The sequence below is a fragment of the Homo sapiens genome, chromosome 18 (assembly GCF_000001405.40).
Source record: "Homo sapiens chromosome 18, GRCh38.p14 Primary Assembly".
In the NCBI taxonomy this organism is placed as follows: Eukaryota; Metazoa; Chordata; class Mammalia; order Primates; family Hominidae; genus Homo; species Homo sapiens.
Genome location: NC_000018.10, coordinates 1,783,280 through 1,793,485, shown reverse-complemented (window position 1 = coordinate 1,793,485; position 10,206 = coordinate 1,783,280). Strand labels below are relative to the sequence as shown.

The 10,206-nt window shown below is 39.9% G+C and overlaps 1 annotated feature.

The window, feature by feature from the left end:
- Window positions 1,052-1,252: a silencer, noted in NCBI's record as "peak3042 fragment used in MPRA reporter construct". NCBI's record gives its function as "represses an SCP1 promoter by STARR-seq MPRAs in K562 erythroleukemia cells {active_cell/tissue: K562}" and the evidence as "EXISTENCE:reporter gene assay evidence [ECO:0000049][PMID:32103011]".

Below are 10,206 nucleotides of genomic sequence, written 5' to 3'. Positions count from 1 at the left end.
CTTTAGCATATTTATAAAAGAAAATATGAGTTATACAATGTCAGATGGGAAGTCGTTCAGTTGTCAACTATCTATGCTATGGTGGAATGCCCAAATATGACCATTATATACACGGCAACTTATTTTATCTTCATTATACCTTGTGTTCATTTATTGATTCCATCCTCATGACCTTAGGTTTATTCTGTCTATATATTATTGCATTCAATTCGGTAGAAAGTTGTGGAGAATCTAGTGAAAAAAAGTGTTGGATTAATACAAAAATTAGTCGGGTGTGGTGGCTGGTGCCTGTAATCCCAGCTACTCCAGAGGCTGAGGCAGGAGACTCGCTTGAACTCAGGGGGCGGAGATTGCAGTGAGCCGAGACCGCGGGCCACTTCACTGCAGCCTGGGCTTAAGAGTGAAACTCCGTCTCGGCGGGGTCGGGGGGGAAGAGATATGAGGAAAATTGCTTTTCTTGACACTAGGAGACATTGCTATACTGTAATAATAGTGTGGTGATTGTTGCTGACCTGTTCAGGTGTTACTTTCTCCCCTGTTGTTTTCTTCAAGAATATGACCAAAATACAAATTTGGAAAGAGGGCTGTGAGCCTAAGAAGGATAACAATGGAGACCCTAAATTCATTTTCTTATAATATTGAGCTCCTTGCTGGCCACAAAAAGACCAAACAAACCAAAATAAATCTGGCAGAAACCACACCTACAAACAAAATTAATTACCATTATGACTTTCAGTCCCTTTTCTCTTATAATTTATTAAGCCCTATCTCTATTTTCTCAATTACTAGAAAAACCATCTGTATCCTGTCTACTCAAGACTTCATGGCACTTTTCCATATCTTTAGAGACATCACTATACACACATGTACGCACAAATGCGCGCGCGCACACACACACACACACACACACACACATATACACAGAACTAGGCTGATGAGATATGTGTTTCAAGAAGTCCTTGTCAGCAACAGTCCAGTTCAAAGCATCTGCAAACCTACAGGCAGCCCTGTAATTGTCATAAAGTCAGAGCTTGAGGTGAGCAGCTGGCTTGGAAAGTTTGGGTAGGTGAATTGCTTTGTAGCTGATTTCAGTGGCAAGCACACTTGAATTGTTTATTTCAAGTGTCTTGGGGTTGTCTAGTGGAGACTGTATAAGGGACAAAAGCTATAAACTTCAAATAACCCACTGGAACTACTTACTGGTTAAAATCTCTTCTGTTGTATTAGTTGGATGTCAGATGACCCTTTCAAGTTTTGAACTTTTAGAAACCATTTTGATTTCATAGTAGTCTATATATGTATTAATTAAAGGTAGTAGTAGTTTTAAAATCCATTTCTTTAAGGACATTTTAGTATTCAGAGGAGTAGATTTGGGTAGAGATGCTGAAACCTGACAAATGGTACATTCTTGAGAAAGAAGAAGAAAATACAAGGAAGCCTCATTGCCATTAGTAAGAGAACTAAAGCTCGAAGTTCCAAAAAGACTATGAAAACTTCATCACCAAAGCCGTAAGATGGCATGTATGCACAGAAATATGCTGAGAAGTTATAGAACATTCTATCGCCAAGAAATATTTAGGGCACCCTGAGCAGAAGTCCGAGTGATAATCTCATCACTAGTATAAAGTCATTTAATAATTAATATTATACCTTTTAATTACATGATAATTATAATTCCTGCTCTAAACAAGAAGCATGAACCAAATTTAACCTTGAGAAGTAATTAAATATGTCTGGAGAGTTTCCACATCTGTTGTATAAAGTGGCTGGATTATATTCATGTTCAGCAACAAGTTATTAACAACCTAGGATATACAGGTGTTTTAATGTAATGTTTTAAAACATCTATTTTAACAATGTTTATTAAGTGTCTTCCTTCTGCCTGGCACTGAGAGATGTAACAGTGAACAAGACATAGTCTTTAAGGGAAACTGACAAGTGAAACATTACAAGGTGGAATAATGAGCAGATAAACACAGAACACTGACAGAACTATAAAGACAAATAATGCAGGCTTAGACAATATGGAAACAATTTTAAGAGAAAAGGACATCTATTTACGTTGAGACAATTACGTGTGTTACTTCATCTTTATTAACAACCCTTTAAGTTAGGTAATGTGATCTCTATTTTATAGATAAGATTGAGGTTTAAATAATATATACCTCATAATTAAATATATACATATATAGAGAAAATATTTTATATAAATACATATATAAAGTAAATAATATATATTCATATATATCATACATATATACATATAAATGAGTTAAAATAATATATGCATAGACAGATGGAGTGGTGTTCTTCAAATCTTTATAGTGGTTCTTTGTCTCAGTGGTGCGATTTCAAATGAATTTTAATTTCATCTATATACCTTCCTGCATTTAAAAATGTTAAACGTATTTGCACGTGAAGCTATTTCAAAACATTTTAGGCCGGGTGCGGTAGCTCACGCCTGTAATCCCAGCACTTTGGGATGCCGAGGTGGGCGGATCACGAGGTCAGGAGTTCGAGACCAGCTTGACCAACATGGTGAAACCCGTCTCTACTAAAAATAAAAAAATAGCTGGGCGTGATGGCACATGCCTGTAATCCCAGCTACTCAGGAGGCTGAGGCAGGAGAATCGCTTGAACCCAGGAGGTGGGGAGGTTGCAGTGAGCCGAGATTGCGCCACTGCACTCCAGCCTGGGCGACAGAGCAAGACTCTGTCTCAAAAAAAAAACAAACACATTTTATATAAGTATAAGATATATATATGCATATGTATATGTGATATGGAAATGTTATGCACCATAAATATGTATAAGAAATGAGATATATGATCATGATATATGTGTAGATATAACTTACACACATGCGCAACTTTTTTTTTTCTATTTCTTCTAAAAAAATGGGATACATGTGCAGAACATGCAAGTTTGTTACATAGGTATACATGTGCCACGGTGGTTTGCTGCACCTATTGACCCATCCTCTAAGTTCCCTCCCCTCACCCCCTACCCCTCAACAGGCCCTGGTGTGTATCGTTTCCCTCTCTGTGTCCATGTGTTCTCAGTGTTCACCTCCCACTTATGACTGAGAACATGCGGTGTTTGGTTTTCTGTTCCTGTGTTAGTTTGCTGAGGATGATGGCTTCCAGCTTCTTCCATGTCCCTGCAAAGGACATGATCTCATTCCTTTTTATGGCTCATAGTATTCCATGGTTTATATATAACACATTTTCTTTATCCACTCTATCATTGATGGGCATTTGGGTTGGTTCCATGTCTTTGCTATTGTAAATACTGCTGCAATAAACATACATGTGCATGTGTATTTATAGTAGAATGATTTATATTTCTTTGGGTATATACCCAGTAATGGGATTGCTGGGTCAAATGGTATTTCTATGTCTAGATCCTTGAGGAATCGCCATACTGTCTTCCACAATGGTTGAATTAGTTTACATTCCCACAAACAGCGTAAAAGCATTGCTATTTCTCCACAGCCTCACCAGTGACTATTGTTTCCTGACTTTTTAATAATCGCCATTCTGACAGGCATGAAATGGTATCTCACTGTGGTTTTGACTTGCATTTCTCTGGTGATCAGTTTTTGTTGAGCTTTTTTTCATATGTTTGTTGGCCATGTAAACGTCTTCTTTTGAGAAGTGTCTGTTCATATCCATTGCCCCCTTTTTGATGGGATTGTTTGTTTTTTTTCATGTAAACATATTTAAGTTCCTTGTAAATTCTGGATATTAGATGTTTGCCAGATGGGTAGGTTGCAAAAATTTTCCCCCATTCTGTAGGTTGCCTGTTCACACTGATGGTAGTTTCTTTTGCTGTGCTGAAGCTCTTTAGTTTCATTAGATCCCATTTGTCAATTTTGGCTTTTGTTGCAATTGCTTTTGGTGTTTTAGTCATGAAGTCTTTGCCCATGCCTATATCCTGAATGGTATTGCCCAGGTTTTCTTCTTGGGTTTTACATTTAAGTCTTTAATCCATCTTGAGTTAATTTTTGTCTAAGGTGTAAAGAAGGGGTCCAGTTTCAGTTTTCTGCATATGGCTAGCCAGTTTGCCCAGCACCATTTACTTAATAGGAGATCCTTTCCCCCATTGCTTGTTTTTGTCAGGTTTGTTGAAGATCAGATGGTTGTAGATGTGTGGTGTTATTTTTGAGGTCTCTGTTCTGCTCCATTGGTCTATATGTCTGTTTTGGTACCAGTACCATGCTGCTTTGGTTACTGTAGACCTGTAGTATAGTTGGAAGTCAGGTAGTGTGATGCCTCCAGCTTTGTTCTTTTTGCTTAGGATTGTCTTGGCTATATGGGATCTTCTTTGATTCTGTATAAAATTTAAAATAGTTTTTTGTAATTCTGTGATGAATATCAATGGTAGTTTGATGGAAATAGCATTGAATCTATAAATTACTTTGGGCAGTATGGCCATTTTCACAATATTGATTCTTCCTATCCATGGGGATGGAATGTTTTCCATTTCTTTGTGTCTTCTCTTATTTCCTTGAGCAGTAGTTTGTAGTTCTCCATGAAGAGCTTCTTCACATCCCTTGTTAGCTGTATTCCTTGGTATTTTATTCTCTTTGTAGAGATTGTGAATGGGAGTTCATTCATGATTTGGCTGCTTGTCTATGGTTGGTGTAAAGGAATGCTTGTGATTTTTGCACATTGATTTTATATCCTGAGACTTTGCTGAAGTTGCCTATCAGTTGAAGAAGTTTTTGTGCTGAGACGATGGAGTTTTCTAAATATAAAATCATCTTGTCTGCAAACAGAGACAACTTGACTTCCTCTCTTCCTATTTGAATACCCTTTATTTCTTTCTCTTGCTTGATTGCCCTGGCCAGAACTTCCAATACTATGTTGAATAGAAGTGGTGAGAGAGGGCATATCGGTTTTCAAAGGGAATGCTTCCAGCTTTTGAACATTAAATATGATACTGGCTGTGTGTTTGTCATAAATAACTCTTATTATTTTGAGATATGTTCCATCAATACCTAGTTTATTGAGAGTTTTTAACATGAAGGGATGTTAAATTTTATCAAAGGCCTTTTCTGCATCTATTGAGATAATCATGTGGTTCCTGTCTTTGGTTCTGTTTATGTGATGGATTAGGCTTATTGATTTGTGTATGTTGAACCAGCCTTGCATCCCAGGGATAAAGCCAACTTGATCGTGGTGGATAAGTTTTTGGATGTGCTGCTGGATTCGGTTTGCCAGTATTTTATTGAGGATTTTCACATCGATGTTCATCAGGGATATTGGCCTGAAGTTTTATTTTTTTGTTGTGTCTTTGCCAGGTTTTGGTATCAGGATGATGCTGGCCTCAAAAAATGAGTTAGGGAGGAGTCTCTCCTTTTCAATTGTTTGGAATAGTTTCAGAAGGAATGGTACCAGCTCCTCTTTGTATTTCTGGTAGAATTCAGCTGTGAACCCATCTGGTCCTGGACTTTTTTGGTTGGCAGGCTATTAATTAGTGCCTCAATTACAGAGCTTGTTATTATTCTATTCAGGGATTCAGCTTCTTCCTGGTTTAGTCTTGGAAGGGTGTATCTGTCCAGGAATTTATCCATTTATTCTAGATTTTTTAGTATCTTTGCCTAGAGGTGTTTATAGTATTCTCTGATGGTAGTTTGTATTTCTGTGGGGTCAGTGGCGATGTCCCCTTTATCATTTTTTACCGTGTCTATTTGATTCTTCTCTGTCTTCTTCATTAGTCTAGCTAGAGGTCTATCTATTTTGTTAATTTTTTAAAAAAAAACATCTCCTTGATTCGTTCATTTTTTGGAGGGTTTTTCATGTCTCTATCTCCTTCAATTCTTCTCTGATCTCAGTTATTTCTTGTCTTCTGATAGCTTTTGAATATTTTCCTCTTGCCTCTCTGGCTCTTTTAATTGTGATGTTAGGGTGTTGATTTGAGATATTTCTAGCTTTCTGATGTGGGCATTTAGTGCTATAAATCACCCTCTTAACACTGCTTTAGCTGTGTCCCAGAGATTCTGATACATTGTCTCTTTGTTCTCATTGGTTTCAAAGAACTTGATCTTTGCCTTAATTTCATTAATTACCCAGGAGTCATTCAGGAGCAGATTGTTCAATTTACATGAAATTGTGTGTGTTTGAGTGATTTTCTTAATCCTGAGTTCTAATTTGATTGCACTGTGGTCTGAGAGACTGTTATGATTTCTGTTCTATTGCCTTTGTTGAGGAATGTTTTACTTCCAATTTTGCGGTCAGTTTTAGAATAAGTACCACGTGGAACTCAGAAGAATGCATATTCTGTTGATTTGGGCACAGAGTTCTGTAGACGTCTACTAGGTCCACTTAATCCAGAGCTGAGTTCAAGTCCTGAATATCATAGTTAATGTTTTGTCTCATTGATCTGTCTAATACTGACAGTGGAGTGTTAAAGTCTCCCACTATTATTGTGTGGGAGACTACATCTCTTTGTAGGTCTCTAAGAACTTGTTTTATGAATCTGGGTGCTTCTATATTGGGTGCATATTTATTTAGAATAGTTAGCTCTTCTTGTTGAATTGTTCCCTTTACCGTTATGTAATGGCCTTCTTTGTCTTTTTTTATCTTTGTTGGTTTAAAGTCTGTTTTGTCAGAGACTAGGATTGCAATCCCTGCTTTGTTTTGCTTTCCATTTGCTCGGCAAATTTTCTTCCATTCCTTTATTTTGAGCTGATGTGTGTCTTTGCACGAAAGATGGGTCTCCTGGATACAGCACACTGATGGCTCTTGACTCCTTATTCAATTTGCCAGTCTGTGTCTTTTAATTGGGGCATAATAGCACATTTATATTTAAGATTAGTATTTTTACATGTGAATTTGATTCTGTCATCATGGTGTTATTTGGTTATTTTGCACACTAGTTGATGGAGTTTCTTCGTAGTGCCATTGGTCTTTATATTTTGGGGTGTTTTTGCAGTGGCTGGTACCAGTTTTTCCTTTCCCTATTTAGTGCTTCTTTCAGGAGCTCTTGCAGGGCATGCATGGTGGTAAGGAAATCCCTCAGCACTGGCTTGCCTTGAAAGGATTTTATTTCTCCTTCACTTATAAAGCTTAGTTTGGCTGGATATGAAATTCTGGGTTGAAAATTCTTTTCTTTAAGAATGTTGAATATTGGCCCCCAATCTCTTCTGGCTTGTAGAGTTTCTGCTGAGAGGTCCACTGTTAGTCTGATGGGCTTCCCTTTGTAGGTAACATGGACTTTCTCTCTGACTGCCTTTAATAATTTTTCCAGGAGAATCTGATTGTCAGGCCTCTGAGCCAAAGCTCAGCCATTGTAACCCCTGTGACCTGCCCATATATGTCCACATGGCCTGCAGGAGCCAAGAAGTCTGGAACAACCGAAAAACCACAAAAGAAGTGAAACAGCCAGCTCCTGCCTTAATTGATTGACCAACCTTACGACATTCCACCATTATGACTTGTTCTTGCCCTGCCCCAACTCATCAATCGACCTTGTGACATTCTTCTTCTGGACAACGAGTCTTATGATCTCCCCACCATACAACTTGTGACCTTCTCCCCTGCTAACAATAGATAACCACCTCTAACTGTACTTTCCACTGCTTACCCCAGTCCTATAAAGCTGCCCCCTCCTATCTCCCTTCACTGACTCTCTTTTTGGACTCAGCCCAGTTGCACCCAAGTGAATAAACAGCCTTGTTGCTCACACAAACCCTGTTTAGGTGGTCTTCCATACGGACACGCATGACACTGATGATTATGTGTCTTGGGGTTCATCTTTTTGCGGAGTATCTTAATGGCGTTCTCTGTATTTCCTGAATGTGCACATTGGCCTGTCTTGGTAGTTTGGGGAAGTTCTCCCGGGTAATATCCTAAAGAGTGTTTTCCAGCTTGTTTCCACTCTCCTGGTCTCCTTCTGGTGCTCCAACCAATCGTAGGTTCGGTCTTGTTATGAAATCCCATATTTCTTGGAGGCTTTGTTTATTCCTTCTCATTCTTTTTTCTCTATTCTTATTTGCATGTCTTATTTCAGTAAGGTGGTCTTCAGACTCTGATATCCTTTCTTCCACTTGGTCTATTCAGCTGCTGATACTTGTGTATGCTTCATGAAATTCTCATGCTGTGTTTTTCAGCTCCATCCAGTCGTTTATGTTCCTCTCTAAACTGGTTATTCTAATTAGCAATTCCTGTAACCTTTTATCAAGGTTCTTAGCTTCTTTGCATTGTGTTAGAACATGCTCCTTTAGCTAATTGTAGTTTTTTATTACCCATCTTCTGAAGCCTACTACTGTCAATTCGTCCATCTGATCCTCTGTCCAGTTCTCTGCCCCAGTGGAGAGACATTGTGATCATTTGGAGAAGAGGTACTCTGGCCTTTTGGGTTTTCAGCATTTTTTTCATTGATTCTTTCTCATCTTAGTGAGTTTGTCTAGTTTTGGTCTTTGAGACTGCTGACTCTTGGATGGGGTTTCTGTGGGGGCCTTTTTTGTTGTTGTTGATGCTGTTGTCACTTTCTGCTTGTTTGTTTTTCTTTCAATAGTCAGGTCCCTTCTGTAGGGTTTCTGCAGTTTGCTGGGGGTTCAGTTCAGGCCCTATTCAACTGATTCACTCCCATGCCTGGAGATGTCACTCCACGGAGGCTGGAGAGAAGCAAAGATGGGTGCCTGCTCCTTCTTCTGGGACCTCAGGCCTTGGGGGCACCAACCTGATGCCAGCAGGATTGCTGCTGAATAGGGTGTCTGACAACCCCTGTTGAAGCGTCTCACCCAGTTGGGTGGCACGGGGAGCAAGACCTGTTTAATGAAGCACTTTGTCCCTTTGTGTGTTTTTCTGGGGGGAAACCCATTCATCGGGGCTTCCTGGATTCCTCAGAACTACAAGGAGGAGAGGGTAAGTCTGCTGGTCCTCAGATACTGTGGCCACCACTCCCCGCTAGGGGCTCAGACCCAGGGAGATCTGAACTCTGTCCCTGAGCCTCTGGCTGGAGTTATTGGAGATCCTGTGGGGAAGCCCCACCCACTGAGGAAGGAAGGGTCAGAGTTAGGCCTGAAGGGGCACTCTGGTTGCAGACTGCCACAGCCAGTGTGTTGGGCTGTGGGGACAAGTCTTGGGACTAAGCCATTCAGCCTCCCTGGCTCCAGAAGGAGAAAAGCGCAGCCTGGAGCTATACAAATGGATGTCGCTGTTCCCCCGTCCAGGGAGCTTAGCTTGTTAGGCAGTTGCCAGTCCCAGTGCTGGCTGCTGCCCCTCCCACAAGGAACTCAAATGGCTTAGACACTAGGCAGCCACAGCCAGTGCTGGTTGCCCCTACCCCCGGGAGTTCAGTAGGATTAAGCAGATTCCAGCTGAGAGGCTGTAAGAATCTGTATATTCCGGGGTTAGGATGCTAGGCCACAAGTAAAATATTATCATTTTCAGGCAGGATGGTTGTATACCTAGGTAGTAGGCTGATATTTTAAGTTATCTTTTTTAGTCCACATAAAAGACAAAAAAAAATTCTTAGACTCATTTTTTTTTTCTCTCCACCATGCTACATAAAGTCTTTTCAAATCTGGAGAAGAAGGGGAGTGAGGGGTTAATCAGGATATTGAGATGCCTGTGGTGCAGAGCTCTGAAGAAGGACCCCATTATTTTTGTACTCTACATCTAATAAATGCAAGAATGCTGGTGATAGAATTCACAGAAGTTTAAGGCTCTGAAAGTAGCAGAAGCTTTCACTCTCACATAGAATCTTAGAAAAGAGAGAAAGGTCTTGGAACTGCCCCTTTATCTTAACACTGGACAGAACAGTCTTTTGGTAGGAATGGTGAGATGTTATGTCTAAGCAAAGATCTGAACATTTCCCCAGGTAATCTCTGTGACCTCTGAATGATGTGAAAGAACACTTGAAGGTTGCCAAGGGCTCCATTAAAATGGACTCGGTGTTATCCATAGAGATGTTTTTGTGTACATGGATGGGTTTACAGATGCAGTCTTAGGATGAATAATGGAACTTATATCCAGAGGTTGAATGGGAACATGTATATCTAACGGGATGCTAGTATGGAGGAATGACTACAGTTCAGCAGTAGCTTGGGTCATACATCTCCATTAGTGACAGCATAGGAAAAATGACCAGCCCAAAGTCCACGAGATAATATCCACATCAGAAGATGCCAGTGTGGACAGGTGACTCCTCTCCTAGTGCCATGATGCTAATTAGAAAATGAGTCAAATGCCACTC